Source organism: Homo sapiens, chromosome 13 (genome assembly GCF_000001405.40).
Source record: "Homo sapiens chromosome 13, GRCh38.p14 Primary Assembly".
Lineage (NCBI taxonomy): Eukaryota > Metazoa > Chordata > Mammalia > Primates > Hominidae > Homo > Homo sapiens.
This window is the reverse complement of record NC_000013.11, coordinates 109,349,983-109,370,786: the sequence shown is the minus strand read 5'-3', so window position 1 is coordinate 109,370,786 and position 20,804 is coordinate 109,349,983. Positions and strand designations below refer to the sequence as shown.

The following is a 20,804-nucleotide window of genomic DNA, read 5'->3' as shown; positions in this document are numbered from 1 at the left end:
GCTGGGGTTGGAAGGAGAGGGTGTGCCGGAGCTGGTCTGACCATATTTGCAGTTAGTGAGGACTGGCTTGAACACAGCCAGTGCTCTGGAAGGCCTTTGTGAGGCACAGCTGTGATGCGGTCACAGAACACCCTGTCCCTGAGTCATGGTGAAGATTGGAGAAAGGCACACGTGGCCGGTGACAGGTGCCTGGCACCTTGCAGGTGTGCGACCTGTGTGAGTTTCCTTCCCCGCCACCCTTCCTATGAGATGAAGGTGGAGAGGAATGAGGGGAACGTGGGTGGGCTACTGCTGGATCGGGAGACTGAGGGGGTGTGGAATCGAGGCAGTGTTCCCTTGGCCTCCCATCATCCTGGGAAGTGATTTTTGGAAAACAGTGGGGTGAGCACAGGAGAAAAGTGTGCACATTGCAATAGCAGCACCAGGAACTGGGAAACGCTTCTGGCTGAGGACAAGCTAAGTACAGCGGGAGACACTGTCCCTTCCCTCCGGTGACTTCCTGGATTTCCCCCAGTGTTGGGGGCACACGAATAACACCACTTGGAGCAGCGTGTTGGTTTCTGTCTGTGCATTGCACTCGTAGCTGCTTCTCCACTGCTCTACAGGAGCTTTCTCCCTCATGAGATGACGAAGGGAGTCCTGGGCCTCCTCAGGAAACTCAGATTTCTGTGCCTTTGGCCTGCAAGCTGAGGCATCACTTCAGCAGAGGGTGGCATGGTGAGGACCGAGTGCCATTCACGCTCAGGACACTGCTGGAGGCTCACGGGCTTGCAAAGTCAAGCAGGGAGAGCACAAAAAAGGGAGAACTTTTCCCTCTGGATTTTCAAAGGGCTGGGAATCCCCAGGAAGCTCTTTTCTGGGCCAGCAAGTGATGCGCGTCATGGGCTCCTCTCCCTCTTGGGTGCAGGTGCCTGGCAGAGATAGGAGCCCTCGTGCCTGATAAGGCGGCACACTCATTACCCTGCTTAGATCCCCAGGGCCCTGGGAAGTCTGCAGAATGAACAAGCAGGGAAAGAGTGAGTGAGCTTCCATCAGGATGGTGGCAAGGCACAGTGGCCGAACCAAGGGGAACCCACTGGGCACAGGTGCCCAGCTTCCCACTCGGGAGGTGGAGGGCGGGGAGGGTGTGGAGCTTTGTTGAATCCCTCCTTTCTGCCTGCTCCCATTTGGGAATTCTGAGACTGGTGACCCACATGCTTTGAATGGATTTTTCTATTTTTGCCACTGCCTCTGCTGCCGCCGACAGATTCTGGCATTTTCTACTCTTTACAGCGCTTGCTGCCTGGATGGAGACAAAAACAACACACACTGGGCCAAGGCTGTGAAAAATCAGGGCACCAGAGAAACTGGAACAAAGGAGAGACACAGTATCCCTCTGCAGCGTGCTATCTGCTCTCTGCCAGCCCGTGGCTCTTTGTCATGCCACTGGCAGGGGCTTCTTTACTATAAATTAGCATTCTGGTAACTTATTGCTATAACAAAGATCTTAAAAAATCAGCCTGCTCTTGCCCTAAAACTTCAGTTGCAGAAGTTTTACAAAAGGGACAAGTATATGAGGACAGACACACACATGCAAACACACACAGAGGCCTTTTTATTTATTTGTTTTAATTGACAAATCAAATTGTATATCCTGTATTTATGGTATACAACATGATGTCTGGAAATATGTGCCCATGAGGAAATGGCTAAATCAAGCTAATTAACATATGTATCATCTCACATAGGTTTTGTGGTGAAAACACTCAAAATCTGCCTTGGTAGCAATTTTCAAATATGCAACACATTGTTATTAACTATAGTCTTTTTTGATGGCAACTTTTAATAGGCACTAAAATTGATTTAAGAAGTTAGGGTGATGATAGATGTTGATGCTTTATAGCAAAGCTTAAAGCACACCGGGGAGTAGAAAACTGAGAAATGTCCGATGAGTTTAAGCAAGGTAGATGATGAGTGAAGGTAATTTTTCAGTAGGCGAGGTACTGGTTTTGCTGGAATTATCTGTCATGAGGTCTGGGCTCCACTTCCTTCAGCGAATGCAGGTCGGCTCCCAGCATCCAAGCAACCCTGGATCCCTGAAGGAGACCCAGCGTCTTCTTGGTGTCCCAGGGCAGCTGCTCTGGAGCAGAAGCCTTTACAAATTAAATGATTGAAGAGGCAAAAGACAAATCAGAAATACTCAACTGAGAATATTCCAATTTTCTTCCTATCTTCAATACCTAGTACAATATCTGGTCAAAAATTTTTGCTAAAACTATGCTTATACAGTGAGTGAATCAATCAATCAATACATTTCTTTGTTTTTTCTTATCTTTTTCTTGCTTTTTTTTTTTAAGAGAAGTCTTCTTTGTTTCAGTCTGTTATGACATCATTGCAAACATTTGCATGAGGTTTTCTTTTTCTCATTTAATCTTTATTTCACTTAGGGCATGTTTAGAAGGACTTCGCGTTAGTATAAATTCCTTCATGTGGGGTCATCCTAACACTAAACGGCAGCCTAAGTAAGAACCTGCAAGCAATATTAGACAAGCGTGAAGGAAAAAAAAAAAAGAGGCCCATTCAAAGGCCAAATCCTTGAAGATTTACTCTCCTTAATTCTAGGAATGAAACCACATAATGAAATGGAGGCCTACAGCAGGGTTCTGCAGATGGGGTCTGTGAGGGATTTAATAAAAAAGGGAGGAGTCAAAGGGCTAAAGAGATTGTCCCAAAGTAACTGCAGCCCTCAATTCCAGAGTCACGCCCAGTGGCTGAAAGCAGAGGTGCTGATGCTCCCTGGGCTGCTGCAGGCAAAGTGCTACCTGAGGGGCCTGAGCCATGGAAGCGATTGCCTCCCAGCTCCAGGGGGCAAAAGTCCAAGAGCAAGGGGCTACAGGAAGCATCCGTTCCGCTCCCCTCCCCAGCCTCTGGGGGTCTGCCGGCCATCTGTGGGCTCCTTGGCTCAGGGAAGCATCACCCTGAGCTGCACCTCTGTCTCCACATGCCATTCTCCCTGTGTGCATTTAGGTTCAAATTGCTCCTTCTAGATACTCTAGTCACGAGGCGTTAGAGCCCATCCTCATGGCCTCATCTGTACTTGATCCCCTCTGCAAAGACTATTTCCAAATAAGGCCACATTCTGAGGTCGTGGGGGTTAGGACTCCAGCATGCATTTGGCGGACACAAGCTACCCCACAACAGGTATTGAAGAAAGCTCTGCTCTGCCAAATCAGGCTTTACCTGGGTGACATGTTCTGTGGAACTTGTTTATTGTCAGGGGCTCCTAAGACCCCTGGACACAGCTTCCTGTGTAATCAGAGAAAGCTCACAAACAGCATTAAAATTAAATGTTTATCCTGATCTTTCATAACCCTACTTACACGAGGGACAGTTATTGTGATGCTAGTAGCTTTACCAGCATATAGTTCTTGGCAATAAAAGATGTTGTAGATAGAAAAGAACAATTCTGGTAAATATTAGATATTTCATAACAAATGTTTAATAACTCAAACTAACTACATAGCGTTCTTGGCCACAGAATCTACAACCCTGGGCTCAGAGTGTGCCTCTGTTAGAAAGGACACTCTGGGCAAGCGTGTGCCTGTCACTTTAATCTTAAACGGAGCAAGCCGACCTCTGGCCCTTTGCAGCTAAGCCTGCAGGGAACCCCCTACCCCCTAAGAGGCTCCTTTCTAAGCATCCCTACAGCCTGCTGCTGGAGCTTGCTCACACACACCCGAAAGGAGGAATGACGCACTTGCCACTTCAAACAGGTGGCAGGTGTGAGTGCTGCCGGTGCAGACCTAATCATGATTCCCAGCTTCACTCAGGGCTCCTGAGATGGGGGCAATGTGTTCTGTCAAAAGTCTAATCTCTCAGAAACATTCTCTAAGAAAGTACCTTGTACATGTTTACCTGCGACACAAATGGAACTGTCATGCCAACATCATCATCATCACCTGTTTCAACACTGCAAGCAGGGCCTCCTTGTTTTGTGTGTAGTCTCATCCCCAGGCCAGGAGGGGCCAATGTTTGTGGTGGGTGGCATTCCACAGTGAGTCCCAGGGATTCCCATCTCTGGCTTTCATGGTCTTACATAATCCTCTTCCCACCAGTGTGGGCTGGAGCTAGTGACTTGCTTCTGAGGAATAGAGTATGTGCGGCAGGAGGGATGGATTCACTTCTGAGATCATGTCACAGAGGACTGGGACTTCTGTGTTGCTAGCTTGCCTGCCCCCTGCCTCTCTTCTCTCTTTCTGTTTCTCTATCTCAGTCCTCCCCTCCACTTATCTCTTCCGAAATGCTTGCCTTGACAGATGCAGCTAGAAAGCTCACATGACAAAAGGCTGAGGGCAGCCTCCAGCCAGTCCCCAACTAAGACCCTCAGCTCAATGCCCTCAAGAAAGTGAAGCCTGACGAAGCTACATTAGTGAGCCCAGAGGTGGCCCTCTCCAGTGGAGCACTGAGGTGACACCAGCCTGGATGACAACCTGGTCCCAGCCTGGGAAAGGCTCTGAGCCCAAGGACCACCTAAGTCATGGCCAGATTTCTGATCCATGAGAACTGGGGTAATATGTGTTGTTCGAGCCACTTTACACACTGAATTGTGTCCCCCCTGAATTCCTATGTGAAAGACCTACCCCTCAATGGGACTGTATTTGAGATAGTGTGTTTAAGGAGGTAGTTAAGGTTAAATGCAGTCATGAGGGTGGAGCCCTGATGCAGTGGAGCTGGTGTCTTTATAAGAAGAAGGGATTACGGTACGGATCTGTACACAGAGCCCATGTGAGGACACAGCCAGAAGGCAGCTGTCTGTAAGCCAAGGAGAGAGTCCTCAGGAGAAGCCAAACCTGCTAACCCCTTATCTTGGACTTTCAGCCTCAAAAACTGCCAGAAAATTAATTCCTATTGTTTAAGCCACATAATCAGTGGTATTTTGTTGTGGTAGCTCTATCAGACTAATACAAGTCTTAGTCTGCTAAGTTTTGGGATAATTTGTTACACAGCTATAGATAGCTGATACAGTCATCAACATGCATCAATTTTCCATTTACCCTGAGCTGGGGACAAGACAAAGTCTCTGGTCTTTAAGAATCTTACACTCAGCAGAGCATGATGGCTGACACCTGTAATCATAGCACTTTGGGAGGCTGAGACAGGTGGATCACTTCAGGCCACAAGTTTGAGACCAGCCTAGGCCACATGGCAAAACCCCATCTCTACAAAAAAGGACACAAAAATTTGTTGGTCCTGGTGGCGTGCATCTGTAGTTCCAGATACTCGGGAGGCTGAGGTGGGAGGATCCCTTGAGCCTTGGAGGTCAAGGCTGTAGTCAGCCAAGATCACACCACTGCATTCCAGCCTGGGCAACAGAGCAAGACTCTATATCAGAAGAAAGAATATTACAGTCTATGGAAGAAAATCACCAAATATAATAAAGTAATGGAACTCAAAAACAATAAAATAATCATGTTACTAGAGAGATGGACAAAATGCCATTGAAGACTTGGGGAGAGGGCAGTTCACTCAGTTCTATGGTGGGAGAAAGAGGAAGCTAGCCCCATTTCTCTGAGGAACAGTGACTGAGGGGACGTTTAAAGATGAGTTGAAGTTCTACAAGCTGAACAGAGAGGAGACGGCAGTCCAAATACCACCTGTACCCCAATAACTTACGGAATTTTTTTTTTCCAAAAGAAGAGCTGCTCTTTCAAAGGCACAAATGCAAGTGATAGCTGCACGCTACCTCCTTGCTGTCCATGTGCTGTGTGATGTGCTAAGCAGTGTGCAGACATTGCCTTATTTGATCCTCATAACAGTCCACTGAAGCTGATGCCATAATCGTCTCCATTTTGTCATTGAATACATAGAGGCTGAAGGAGGGAAAGCGAGTTCCCCAAGGTCATACAGCTCATAGGTTGCCAGGATTTCACTCCCAGGCCAGCAAGTTGAAAAGAGAAAATGTCCTTAGAAGACACAGGCTTCTAAGAAGTCAAACACAAAGGCCTAGGAGAGAAACTGAGAAGGATCAGTGTGAGAGATAAGAGGAAAATTAATGTGATCCCAGATCAAAAGGAAGCATCTTGCTGGGTGAGAATGGTGTTGGCTGCCAAAGGCAGTAGAGCATCTGGTAGACGATGGACTTTTGGGAGATCTCCAGCGAGGAGCTCCCATGGTTTAACAAGAACAGAAACAAGATTCCCGCCAAGTGAGTGAGGGTAGTGACAATCAAGAAATAGGTTCATAAAATGAAACTGAGAATGGGACAATGGCTAGGTCATCTTGTGGTAAGCTTGATGTGTAGAATCCTTCCTTACTTCAGCCCTTCCCTGTTTGATGCTAGAAGTTTCTTCAAGTCAATTGGGTTTTAACGGTGCACACATCTGCATACTGCTGTGATTGAGCCTTCACCTTCTCTTCCTTTTTAATGGGCCTAGAGTATTCTGGTGAAGCACGCCACCATGCTTCAGACTTTGACCGGCCTACGGGTGGGAGAAGTGGAGAACGAATGCTTTCCTTTTTGGCTAAGGCTCAGCAGGGGACATTGGGAGGCCCGATGTCAGTGGACTTGCATGTAGAGGACAAACTTCAAGGCAAAGGAGCCCACTAGTAAGGTCCTCCCAGCACCACCCAACCCTGGAATGTGGGGTAATTGAACTCATGTGCCAAGGAGAAGGTTGAATTGGAAAACACAGATGAAAATTTCTTGCCATTTTGATTTCTACAAAGCCCTGTCAAGGCCTGTCTCTGAGTCAGTCCTGGCCCAGGAGACTGCTTACTTTCCATGCTGTGGAGAACACCCATGAACGTGGCACACTTTCCTAGGGATCTTTGAGCTAACATTGTCTTTGTTTTTAACTGACCTTAGCTTGACACCCCAGAGGGTCGTGTTTAGAAGGGGCAATGCTTTCTGGAAAGTTTTGTGCCCACAGACACACACACACACACACAGAACATACCAGACAGTGAAGGGTTGACTCTGTCTCTGAGAGTGGAGCAATCACAGAGGCAGGGTCTTGGATTATAGGTCCTGTTTCATGTCCCTTCTGTAAAGGACATGCAGGTTTAGGGCATGTTGAGTTCAGATGTTAATTTTCAGTCATGTAACACGAAAACCCAGCAACATCCCACGTGGAGTCCACACCTCCCACGATAGAATGTGCTTGGTGGAACTGGGTGGAGCACAAGCGCAGCACAGCCGTGGGCGGGTCCTGTGGGCTGTGGAGAGGGGGTCACAGTGGAACTCTGAGCAATAGGATATGTGGAATTTTGTAACTAAAGGTATGTGGGATCTGCAATTTGTAAATTGTGACAATGCAAAACTAGCAAATGGGCCAGAGAAACTTAAAGAGAGGCTGTGTGTACCATCCAGTGTGGAAAGCTGCAAACCTCAACCAAATCAGTCATGCTGGGATGCCCACGCTATAGCAGCTGCCAGACTGACCGCATTGTATGAGGTTAGTCTTTTCTCTACATAGTACTTAACATGGACTTATACTTCTCTTGTTAATTTGCGTTGTTATTTATTGTCTGATGGACTGATCACTTGCTTTGCTTCTCTCCATCCTCCACAAAATAGAACCTCCATGACATTAGGACCAGCATCCTCTCACTCACTGTTGTCTCTGCCACAATTGCAACAGTGCCTGGTGTTTTGGAAGCGGCTGCTCCCATGCAGAAATGCATGAGAGTATCCACCCTCTCCTGCCCTCCTTCCTTTTCTTCAAATATTTTTTCTGCTGTGCCTGTAAGGGGAGTGGGAATACTGAAGTGCAAGATCACAATCATGTCATTAAATTTCCTGGTTCTTTTAGGTAAGTGCTATGGGTTGAATTGTGTCTTTCCCAAAGAGATAGGCTGAGGTCCTAACCACCCCCCACCCCATGCCTCAGAAAGTGACCATATTTGGAATTGGGTTGTTGCAGATGTCATTAGTTAAGATGAGGTCATACTGGAGCAGGATGGGTCCCTAATGCAGGATAACTGGAGTCCTTTGAAGAAGACAGCCATGTGATGACAGACAGCCACAGGGAAAGCACCAAGGGATGCTGAGAGCACAGGTCAGAGGGATGCAGAGATTGGCATCAAGCCAAGGAATGCCTGGGCCTCCCGGAAGGTGGACAAGGTGAAGAAGGATTTTCCTACGGATTTTAGTGGGAATATGCCCTGTAGACACCTTGATTTCAGACTTCCAGCCTCTGGAACTGTGAGAGAATAGGTTTCTGTAGTTTTAAGCCACCCAGCTTGCAGGACTTTGTTATGGCAGCGCGAGAACTGATATACTGCAGTTCTTGTGAGTTCTCCAAGCCCTAGATCCTCATCTAAAAATGAGAATAATCGGTCCTACTTAAAAACCTTTAACAAAAGTTAAAAGCAAACCCTCCTTAAATTAATATGTATTCTGCCCTATGTTTCCTCTTCTAAGCACAGGCAATTTGTTTAGTAAAACAGCAATAGATTGGTGTTTGTGTCCATTTTGCAACTAACTTGTTCCTACTTTTCTCTTTATTAAAACTAGCACAGGGGCACTCACTGACTGTACTCACCTCCATTCACCCACTAAAAGCCAACAGTTCTTACATATCTCATTTATTTTTGATTGATATCCCATCTACATTCAGCATGGATTTGAGGCAGCTTAACATCAACACATGGATGCAAGTTTTATGCATTCCGCATATGATAGCACTGCAAAGACAAGACAGTAAAATACATGATAATATACGGTTATGTGGTGTGCTGCAAGCTGAAAGGGCAATCAATTTTTGTGACTGCATGTATGAAGATGTATCTTTCTAATACTGTGTGACTCGGGTTATTTCATTTATTTATTTCATCAATTTTGTTCTTTTGTTTTCCTAGAGATTTCTAGGAATGACAAACTGATCATGGTTTAATACAAACTGTGAATCTTGTCCTCTCCTGTGTGTGACTTACGGGGTAATGAATGGCGGGGGTGGGGTAATATTTTGCAGACACTCTCCGGCTTTCTGTCTTCAGGCAGTGTTCTGTTTGATGGATCAGCTGCAGGTCACACATCCATTTCCGTTTAGTGGTGCAGACGGCCTGCGTAGTTCCGTGTCTGTGGGTCTACTCTCTGGCACTGCTCTGTTAAGTAACACAGAAAAAGGCCCGTAATTGAAAGTTGGCCAAAAGGGTTAGGGTTTCCCTCTTTTTATTTCCCTTTTTTTTCCTACCAATTCCTTCAAGGCCAAGTTCTAGTCAAATCTCACTTATGATTCCCCCTTTTTTTTTTTTGGCTTTGCTGATCAATATTAACAAGTGTTATATTCTATTAGTGGAATAGTTTATAGATTATAAATTACTTGGTTTAAATGTAATTATCTTTCTTGTGGTTGATTATTTCAGCTACCTGGTGAGAAAGGTAGAACTGGAATCATGATTTTAACTTTCTAAGAAGTTTTAAGGAGACCTCTGGCCTTTCCCAGGCTGCTCTTGCAAGAGGTACTTTTCCAGGATATGAGGTACCTGCAGGCAGATCCTAAGGGCCCATCATAATGCTCACTCCAGCAGACACTCAGTGCACACGTGTTTGCTCCTCTAATCAGGGTTGTGGATAGTGTGGGGGCAAGAATGCAAAATGGAGATCTGGGCTATGCTGATTGCTCATTAGCTCCAGAGGACAACTCTGTTGATATCCCTAAAGTGGAAAACTGCACCACAACGAGCCATAATTTCATCAGTAAGATGTTAGAAACATCACAAATGCTTTCTAAGAAGAGGCAACAGAAGGAAACCCCAGAAAGCTTTCTAAGAAGAGACAACAGAAGGAAACCCCAGAAAGCAGAGTGTTTGTCATGGAGAAAGACTGCCATGTGAGGAACTTTGGTGGCATAAGGGGAGACAATCACCTGTTGCAGAGGACAAGAACAAGACCATGTAAGTGCTGGCTGACATTCTTCACTTGGATGGAAGTTACAAGACACGTGATTTGATCATTCCTTCCCTTTTTTCCCAAAATCAACAGAGATTTCAGCTTGTTTGCTCTCAGTTGATGCTACTAAGTGGAATGCATAGATTAAAAGTTTAAAAAGGCAAGGGATGCTGTGGCCTGCCTTCACGTTGCAACACCTTTGATTTCTCCTTTCTGCCTTGAACTCCCTACCAACCGGTGGATATCTTAGCGGATAGTTTCTTGGTCTCTTGAAGGAAGTGCTAGGCATGCATTCCCATTTCAGGCTGTGAGTGGCATTAATCTTGCTGCCACAGGCCTTGGGTCTGTGCTTGGGGTAAACATGGATGCTGACGTGTCCTTGTAGCATGAGTCCCATCCTTACCACTTTGTGTGAAATATTGACTTAATGGGTCTGAGCAGAAATAGGAGTCCAGGGCCAGGTGAGCAAAAAATTGAAACAGGGATCAGGGACAAGGCCACAGGGAAATTAGACTTAATAAGTATGTGACAATATAGCAGATATTTTATGATAAATCCAAAACTTAAATTCCATCTATCATTACAGCACATCAAAATTTTTTTTTTTTCTGTGAGTATGTCTATATGTCATCTGGAAGTACAGAGGGCTACCCCCAATGGCTGGGATAACTGCATTAGCTCTAATTTGCTTTTCATATGTTCATTAAACTAGTTCTTTTCAACTGGGTAAGTGCCTGGCACCTGGAATATGAGGATCTGAACACTATGAAGTCTGTACCTTAAGTAATAACTTGCCTGCTGGGCATGGCTTTAGTTATTTCTTACAGTAGTTCAGGTTAGAGCTACAAATACAGGGAAAGATTCTGATGGATCTGGGTCATGTTGATTATGTAGAAAGCAGAGTCTAAAGCTTCTGTTTGAAAGTGTTAGAATTTTGCAGCCAAGTATGTAGCCTGCATTGGAGTATTATGAGCAGGCAATGGCAAGACAGTCAATAATGAAAACTGAATTAAAGAACCGGTGGCCTCTTGTAATGATGAAGAATTATGTAAAGTAGAAATGTAAGAAGGATTATGGAAGTAATTGAATTTCTCTTTTTTAGTTTTTTTTGACATATCTGTATTATATGGTCATTGCACTGTTCCCCATTTATCTACCTATGAGTAGACAGAGAGATCTGGATATACCTAAATACAGTAGCAGTATAGATATATTAACAACCTATCCATTGGCAGCTAGTGAGTGAGCCATATTTCACAGCTCTAATGCAATCAGAGGCTACGAAATTTAATCAAGGGCTACAATATTTCATGCCTGTGAGGCTGTTACCGTGAAAGATTGTTTTTTTTCTTTTCTTTTTTTTTTTTTTAACACAAGGAAGGACGAGTACTTACATTGGATTTTAAACCAGTACTATTGAAATATTCAAAAGAACTTAGATGAATCTTAAAATATTAGGCTCGTGTGATTGGAAATCTTCATCTTAAACCTGAAAGTATTTTTCGTGTGGCAAATGAAGAGCAAAGTTGTCAACTGTTTATTTTCTCTACTTTCTCAAATAGATCACTAGTGAACAACAAAGACATAGGGCAGTGCCAAGTACAAAGAGAGAGAACTATGATAATGATAATTTTATGTTTTGAACACTTTTTTTTCTGAATTGTTTTTAAAGCCAACATATTGAATTCTAGATTTAGTATGAGTACTGAAGGATGGCGATAGGGTGCAACACCCTTGTATCCAGTTCAGTTTGCAGCCGTCTTCCAACTTAAGGCCTAAAGACTTCTTGTCTTTATGTGAGACTATACGAAGGGGTTCCATGATGAAATAATTTGGGAAAATACTACGTAGTATGTCTTATTTGCTTGTTGGAAAGTTAAAAACTGATAATTCCTATAGTAAAGAGACATTTAAAATGGAATCAGTGTAATTGAATACCATCATATAAAAGACCAAAACTATCCAGCTATTGATCTATGTATCTATCTATGGATCTATCTGTCTATGTCTTTGTTCTGAAACTTGAACTGGTACACAAACTATTGAACCTCATTATAAAAGGAAAGAAACTATCGTAAGAGCTTTCGGAAAATGATACCTATGTTCTCATATAGAGTAGAACTAAGTAATTTGTACATATTGAAAACAATCTTTGAAACAGCTTCATCACAACGTTTAAGTCTCAGAAATGACCTGAAATTGCTTTTCAAACTATTTCTCTGGTTTGTCATAAAAAACAGAATTCCTAGGTATCCCATTTCCATGGAATATGGTTTGGCACCCTTCAAATTGGCTTAATTTTCTTTGTTGTGATAGAGATGAAAAAGCAGCACCCTTTAAACACGTGGATACCAATGCACCAATTATCTTTTCTTCCTGACTCATCAGAGACCCCAGTGAGCACAGAATGAAAGCAGGTTAGACCAATGCCTCACGTCAGGCCGAGGCTGCTCTCCGTTCATGACACTCTCAAGGGGAGTGAAGGAGAAGGTGGTGTGTAGAGAAGACACCTACACACATTTTATGTTCCTTGGCTTCATAAATAGTAGCAGCCTTGTGGGTCTCATCGTGTCCCCCAAAAATGTCTGCTCACTCCTAAGCTGTGAATACATCCTTCTTTCTAAGTACGAGGTCATTGCCGATGTAATCAAGATGAGGTCATCAGGCAGGGCTTAATCCAATATTACCAATGTCCTTACAGAAGAGGAAAGTGCCCTGTGAAAGTATGGACACGTGGTGATCACCAAATGGTGACGGAGGCGGAGAGTGGAGTGACGCAACCACAAGCCCCAAACAACAAGGTCTCTGGTGAGCACCAGGAGCGCGGAGACAGCCTGAGCCTGCAGCACCTTGACTTTGGACTTGTGGCTTCAGGAACTGAGAGGGAGTAAATTCCTGTTTTTCAAGCCATCCGGTTTGTGGTCCTTTGTTTTGGCAGCGCTAGGAAACTGATACAAATAGCTGGTGGTTATTCACTTATTTATTTTATCTGGCACTGTGCTGGAGGCTTTACATACCTTATTCCTGACAACCACTCTACCAGGAGGGATAGGTTCTCCCATTTTACGAAAGACAGAGTTTCCATTGTCCCACGCCAGCGGCATTAGCATCAACTGGGAAATTTCCAGAAATTCGAATTCTCAGACCCTCCCCAGACCTAGTGAATCAGAAACTCTGCAGGTGGGCCCAACGATTGTAGTGTAACAAGCCCTCCTGGAGGGGCTAACACAGCATGAAGTGTGATCTCTGAGGATCTAGACAGACCTAGTGGGGATGGAGTTATGATGTGGATTCATATCCCTCTGAATCAAAAGCTGGGTACACGCACATACTCACACACAAACAGACTCACATCTGAACACGTGTTTTTTTAATAAAAGAAAGGAAGGAAGCATTTTGAGATAGGCAAGGGGCAGCTTTGGGCACTGTTGCTCTCCTCATCCAAAAGCAGAAGGCCCAGGGAAGCCCTGCGAGGATCTATTACCCTCTGCAGAGCCAGGCCTTCTTTCATTGCTTTGGAAGAATTTGCAGTAATAACCATTGTCTCTCCTTCCATAGATGTCAAGGCCAAATGCAAAATGACAAAGGCCAAGTCCCTTCTTCATTCAGAAAGAATATGAATACATGTGTTTATAATCATGTGTTTGTCTTCCTCTGCTAAGTTCAAGGATCTTTATTCATATGTGGACTTTATTTTGCCTAATACAGGCTTTCTTTCAGAATATTTTCACCTGTGACCATATGGAGTATTTCATGATCCTGATTCTGACCTGCGAAATTTAAAGCATTTTCAATACAAACAGGTCTCATTTTCTAAAGATTTAGTATCGAGGCCAAGCAATCTATTTCAGTTGCTGATCTGGAAATGGAATTGCAAGGTGGAGCACAATTTGTGACTCATATGAGCTCCCTCTCTCTCTCTCTTTTCTTTTTTTCTGTGCTGGGCATTAGCTAAGAGTTTCAACTTATATATTAAAGGTTTTGATATACAGAATATTGATAATATAATAATTACATCTAAAAAGCCGGTTTTCTATGTTGCAAAAAGTCCTGAGTGTACCAACTCTGGGATTTTCATACCATGAGATTATTGAGAGCAACCAGGGACCCAGGGCAGCCCCAAATTTCTCTGATTTACAGGATTTTACGTCATCTCTGCTTAGAGTTATTTATTGTCAGAAGTGAAACATTTTAATAACTCCTCTGTTATATGTTTCAGTCTTTAATGTTTTATAATCTGTTCCCTCAATCAGGAGATTTTGAATACTGGGAGTTACACTTTCCTGGCTTTTAGCCTTGCCAAAATCTTACCCAGCCAATCCCCTACTGAAGAACTCAATTTATTTGCTTAATTTATTAGGGAGGATTCAGAAGAATTTTTTATGGGAAATGTTTTTTTGTAGAGACTGTCTTTGACACCTACATTGACCCACCTAAAGCATAAAAAAAAAAAAAACTTTTGATGCTGAAGTTGAATCAAAACTACGCCTGTCCCCTCCACCTCGGGGCTGTCTTCTGCAGAGACTGACGTGGTTTCCAGCAGCAGGTCCGTGTAAGTGCAGAGAACAACTGCCTTTAGCTGCTGATCTTCGTATCATTAATTTCCTGCTCTGAAAACCGAAATGCCTTGTAATTATCCAGCTGTAGGAACACATAAGACAGTACTAAATTTTGCTTAAGTACAGCCTATTGCCAAAACGGAAGCCAAAATATATAATTAGGTAGGCATTAACATTCGAGAGCCGTGCGGTTTCGGAGCAGCACAATGGCAGGGACACGCGTGAAGGGCAGGCTTCCTGGGTAATGTAGCAGAAACCCTTCTCTAGTACCGTGCCCTCCCGTGCGCTCTCCCGTGCCCCGCCATGGTGCCAGCATGCCCGTCCTGTTACTGGTCTGTGGATACGGAAGGGTTCCACCTTGCGAGGTCCCTGCCAAAAGATTCAGCTTCTCCTGCCTCAGAAGCAAATGTCTGCATTTTTAAAGCAAGCAAAGAGTAATTAGATTGCAGTGTTCCAGGCTGAACCTAGTGCAAGAAAACAGTCCGTCTTGTCCATTTACATTCATACACATCCCACCATTTTTACGCAGCATTGTTCCCAGGGCAGGGGTCATGATGTTCCATAATGAATTCCAAGAGAGCTCCTCAGACAAGCAAAGAGAAGTGCCTGCTTTGACCTATCACCTGCCTGTGACCGTGATGAAAAGTCACTGGTGATTTTGTGACAAGTATGCTTTTCCATTCCCAGTCATGACTTTAGACAACCTGCAATATGCCCATGTCTGGCCAATGTGGACACTCGGGCAAGAAGAAAATCAACACTTTCTGAGTAAAAGTTGCTTAAATATATGACATAGTTTTAAGAAACAAAATGATGTTGCCAGTTCTTAGGGACTATAGAGCATTTAAGCTCTTTTGACCTATAAAAGGGAAGGGATCGACCGTGGTAGCTTGGGAGAAAAGAAAAATTCTAATTACTATTAATGAGATTCATTATAATATAGGGTCTCCCAGCAATGAATTTTAAATGTCCCCTGTCAGTTTTCTATCAACATGGCACAGAAGGAAACATCTGCTCTGGAGTGCCCATGGAGGCGCATTCTTATGAGCTGATCTGTTTCCTCTATTAACTATCACTCTTGTTGTGTTGGTGGACAAGGGATCAATCTTTCCCCGAAATCAGTTTTTCTGCCCAAAGCTGAAAGCCTTGGTGTTTGTGGGTATGTTTTAAAAATCATATATTAAAAGTAATTTAAAGGTTAAACCCTAATTACTTTTTTCCTTCTTTTTCTATTTTTTTTTTCCTGTTCGAACTAATATAAATCATTCTTGTTTCTTGTTATGAGATGGAGGGAAACCTTGCGCTAGTACATTTCAGCAAAAATCGAGTTCTTTTGTGACCAACGTAATTCTAACATTTTGTTGGGGGATTAATGAAATCGTCCTAGAAGTTCCTGCCTTGAGCAGCATTGTGCAGGACAAACAGAAGGTGAGACGGACATGTAATTTTAAGTTTTCTAATAGCTACATTTTTAAAAGTAAAGATAAATTAGTTCTAATAATATGTTTCAAGCCAGATGCGGTGGCTCAAGCCTGAAATCCCAGCACTTTGGGAGGCCGAGGCGGGAGGTCAGGAGTTCGAGACCAGCCTGACCCACCTGGTGAAACCCTGTCTCTACTAAAAATACAAAAGAATTAGCCGGGCGTGGTGGTGGGTGCCTGTAATCCCAGCTACTCAGGAGGCTGAGGCAGGAGAATCGCTTGAACCTGAGAGGCAGAGGTTGCAGCGAGCTGAGATCACACTACTGCACTCCAGCCTAGGTGACAGAGCAAGATTCCATCTCAAATATTTATGTATGTTTCAGTTAAACCAGTATATCCAAATAATACTCTATGAACATATAATCAACATAAATATTATTAATGACCTATTTTACTTTCTCCTTTTGTGTTTTCCACTTGCAACTCTTCACTACCCACATTTCAAGGACTCAGTGGACTGATGGGCTCTCGGCTTCCACCCTGGATGGCGCTGAACGTGGGGAAGTTCTTTACTTCCATTCTCACGTGAGAAACTGTAAGGCAATGATTTAAAAAAATGCAATTCTGCTTCTTTAGGTAAACTGTTGTTTACCATTATACTTCTCTAAAATAGGTTAAATATTTTACTGCTTTTGAGCCTTGATTTTCTAAAGTTTGAATTAGTTGTCAGTGCTAAAATATAAACTTTTTTTTAAAAAAAGAATAAGATGTATCTGAATGCATTAGGGATGAATTTCACTGATGAAAAGGATTTCAGCACAATAGAAATACCTATATCTAGCCGAAGGTTTCCACAGATGTAAGACAATTTAGATTTTCCATATGGAAGGATAAAGTATTTTTCACTATTTATTTCTGTTGCTTATGGAAATTAAGCAACCTAGAGCAGTAAAATGAAGTTTTATTCACAGTACCTTTAATTAGTCAAACATCTGGAAATATTTTTTGTATGTAATATGACTAAATTATAAAAGATATAATTTGTTTTTACTACTCTGTGTTTCCATCTAAATCTAATATAATTTTTTAGTATTACATGAGTACGCTGCCCAGAAACCTCCTTTCTCCTGGTTTACCTGGCAATTTCACTATACCTAGTTCCTGTCGGTGACTGCCAAAGGAAATCTTTTCAATCAGTATTAAAACATTGGCTACTTTGTATATGCTGCCTGCTTCACCTAGCTCTGTGGAGTCAAGAGTATGTCCTACATAAAGAAATACAAGACCATCAACCTGGAGATATGAGAAATATGAAAAGTTGCTTTTGATGGCAGAGGCACACAATTAGTGCTGCCTTATTTTAGAGAAGAGCGCCGTCTTTTCCTACCAAGATCATTGAAAAAGATGTTTTGGAGGAAATGGGATTCTATGATGGTTAGGATTTGGCAACTTGGAGAGGAAGACAACATTCCAAGAAAGACAGCTATCTGAGAAAAACACCTGCAAAATCAAATGAAGATAAAATAGTGATTGGCATATAATTCTAATAAAAAGACAAACAGTATGAAAAGAGGGTACATTTATTAAGATACAGATTCATGAAAAAATTCTATGTAGTTATTTAAGCAGCTATTTAAGCTACTGGTTTCAGGATATAGTAGGGTGCTCTTTGGAAGGATGATGTGGCATAGAAAGAGTGATAAAGAGAGAGAAAGAGAAAAGGAGTTGCAAAACCTGAAAATCCTTCTTCAGGCTATTTCTTTAAAACGGGTCTTTTACTTGGCATTTATCTGTGAACTCTCGAAGTTCAAGACAAATATTCAATAACTCCTAGGCATTATTTTTAATCGTCAACATCACCACTATTTTTATTTTTTATCATTATTTTTGTTTGTTTCTTCTGTTTTTGAGACAGGGTTTGCTCTGTTGCCCAGCCTGGAGTGCAGTGGTGTGATCAGAGCTCAATGCAGCCTTGACTTCTCAGGTTCAAGCCTCCTGAATAGCTGTGACCACGGGTGCACACCACCATGCCCAGCAATTTTTTAAATTTTTTTGTAGAGATGAGGTCTCATTATGTTGCCCAGATTGGTCTTGAACTCCTGGGCTCAAGCGATCCTCCTCCCTCAGCCTCCCAAAGTGCCGGGGTTACAAGTGTGAACCACTGCCCTCAGCCTATCTCCATTACTTTTAAAACAAACACATAAGGAAAGGGTATAGTGATATAGATATTTTTAGATTGGTGTATTAGTCTGTTCTCATGCTGCTAGTAAAGACATATCCAACACTGGGTAATTTATAAAGAAAAGTTTAATTGACTCACAGTTCCACATGGCTGAGGAAGCCTCACAATCATGGTAGAAGGCGAAGGAGGAGCAAAGCCACATCTTACATGGGGGCAGGCAAGAGGGTGTGTGCGAGGGAACTATCTTTTATAAAATCATCAGATATCGTGAGGCTTACTCACTATCACGAGAACAGTATGGGAAAGACCCACCCCCATGATTTAATTACTTCCCACCAGCTCCCTCCCATGACACATGGGAATTACAGGAGCTACAATTCAAGATGAGATTTGGGTGGGGACACAGCCAAACCATATCAATGGGAATAGATGTCTTTTCTTACTTTATACAGACCAGTGTGAGCTCTGCAGCTGGCTGTGCCAGTTTGAATCTTAACTTTACCAAGTGCTTGTTGTGTGAACCCAGGGAAGATGCTGGGCATTCCCCTGCCTCATTTTACTCATCTGTAAAATGGAGATGGTGAGAGTAACTTCTTATGATGTGTTTTGGTTTTAAATTGACTTTATTTTTTTTAGAGCAGCTTTATGTTCTCAGCAAAACTGAGCAAAAGGTACAGAGATTTCCATACACCTCCCCACCCTCTCACCTCCACACACACACACTGCCTCCCTCATCATTATCCCCATCCCTTGCCAGGGGGTACATTTGTTACAATCAATTAACCTAAATTGACTCATCATCATCACCCAAATGTCACAGTTTACATTAGAGTTCACTCCTGGTGTTGCCCATTCGATGGGTTTTGGTAAATGTATACAGGTTTGTTTTTAAGGTGAAAAGAAAATACTCAAAAAGCTTAGAAGAGTATATGGCATAGATGAAAAACTCAAAATGTTACCTACTATCATTGATATTATTATTGATTATAGTGGTATGTTTTAAAATAATCTTTTGAAACACTTTTTCTTTTCTTTAAATTATAGTGGCATGTCCGTAACTTACATATGTGATATATGTTGTATATTTATGTAATTTGTAATAATTATATACTACCATGTATAGTAGTATATATTACATATACTATATAATATGGTATGTATACTATGTAATATATACTTATTCTTTATTATACATAACACAATATATTACATATATATACTATATATGAAGACATACATATATAGTGTATATACTAAATTATTAGGTTGGTGCAAAAGTAATTGCAGTGTTTGCCATTACCTTCAACAGTAAAAACCGCAATAACTTTTGCACCAACCTATAATACATGTCTTCAAAAACTGATGAGCAGAATCTCTGAACTCAGCCAAACACAGAAGGATCCTAGGGTATGGGTGATTGTTGAAATACATGCTGCAAAATATTCCTCTTAAAAGCCTCACTCTGTAATCTGAAACTTCTAATATTCTGGCTGTCTTTGAGTGTGGTAAGCTCATATTTTGAGGTCAATAATTCGTATTCCCTTTAAATAACACCAGTTGTTTGCCTCTGGACAATGATAATCTTTAACGTGGGAAGATTTAATCCTAATTGCAAGAGGTCTTACAGACAGAAGTGACTTCCAAAAACACAGACCAATATTTCCTGGAATAAAATTCCAGATATTAACAGGCTTTATTATGGCGGCCTACATCAGTGTGTCAATGCATAAGAACATAAGCTGAAAAAAAAAATTGGCTCAGATCATAAAAATAAAGCTTAACAGTTGGATTCAACATCTCTTATCATCTACCACTCCCCACAGACATCTCATCTCTGAATCCCGATCCGTTATTCTTGAGCTAGGTACACACATTCAATACTCTGTAGCCCAAGGCAATGCCTACAATCTAAGTTCTAGGGCAGAGACTACCATATTCAGTTTTTTTATTGTTTCTCCAAGTCAATTATTTCTTAGAAATGTATTAAATTTTCTCATGCCAGATTTTATGTGATTTAATTATGGAACACTAGAGAAAATCAGGGATTTAAAAGAATTTTTCATGCCTCTCAGCCATGATCCAAGGTGACTGGTTGTACGTGGTAAAGGATAGCATCTACTCAGTCCCCGCGATTTGAAGACATATGTAACCAGCACTTGCCACCTTATCATTATACTCTAGAAGGCCATCAACCAAGACTTCATTCCGGATGTCCTAGCTCTCAGAGAACATCCCTTTCGACCCAATTGTATTGTCTGTTCATACTCTATTATTACAGTAAATGTGAGTGAACAGCAGTGTATTGACTTTTAATTATGTATAGTATATTTTTAAAATTTGTAATTACTATTCCTTTATACGTCTCTAAAAATCTTGTAATTATGATGCTAAACACTATCACACCATTGGAAATGGCAGAACTGTTCAGATTTGCCAATATCTGGGTGATTACTCTTGCTTGCAAAGGTTTTTAGAGAAGTAATAATTATGTGCTTAGCATTTAAGCTATTTCTCCAAGTTTACAATTATTATTCTTTCTTTCTGCAGAGAGCACTGTGACTTACAAAGAGTAAGAAAACTAGAAACTTTTGTTTGGTTTGCCAATGTATTGGCAGCATGATTGGGACAGAATCCAGGTCGTGCCCCAGGAGAAAGCTATTCGTGACACCATCTCTTCGCACCCTGAAAACATATTTATTAATTCAGTGTTTGACGTGTGTTTGTAATTACTGATGTGTATTTATGGGTTTCAGGTGATTTTTTTAAATCTT

At 42.2% G+C, this 20,804-nt stretch overlaps 1 annotated feature.

Annotated features, from left to right (window-relative positions):
* Positions 388–1,385: an enhancer, noted in NCBI's record as "H3K27ac-H3K4me1 hESC enhancer chr13:110021749-110022746 (GRCh37/hg19 assembly coordinates)". NCBI's record gives its function as "activates a minimal SCP1, AML or CMV promoter by ChIP-STARR-seq in naive H9 embryonic stem cells {active_cell/tissue: H9 hESC(naive)}" and the evidence as "EXISTENCE:reporter gene assay evidence [ECO:0000049][PMID:30033119]".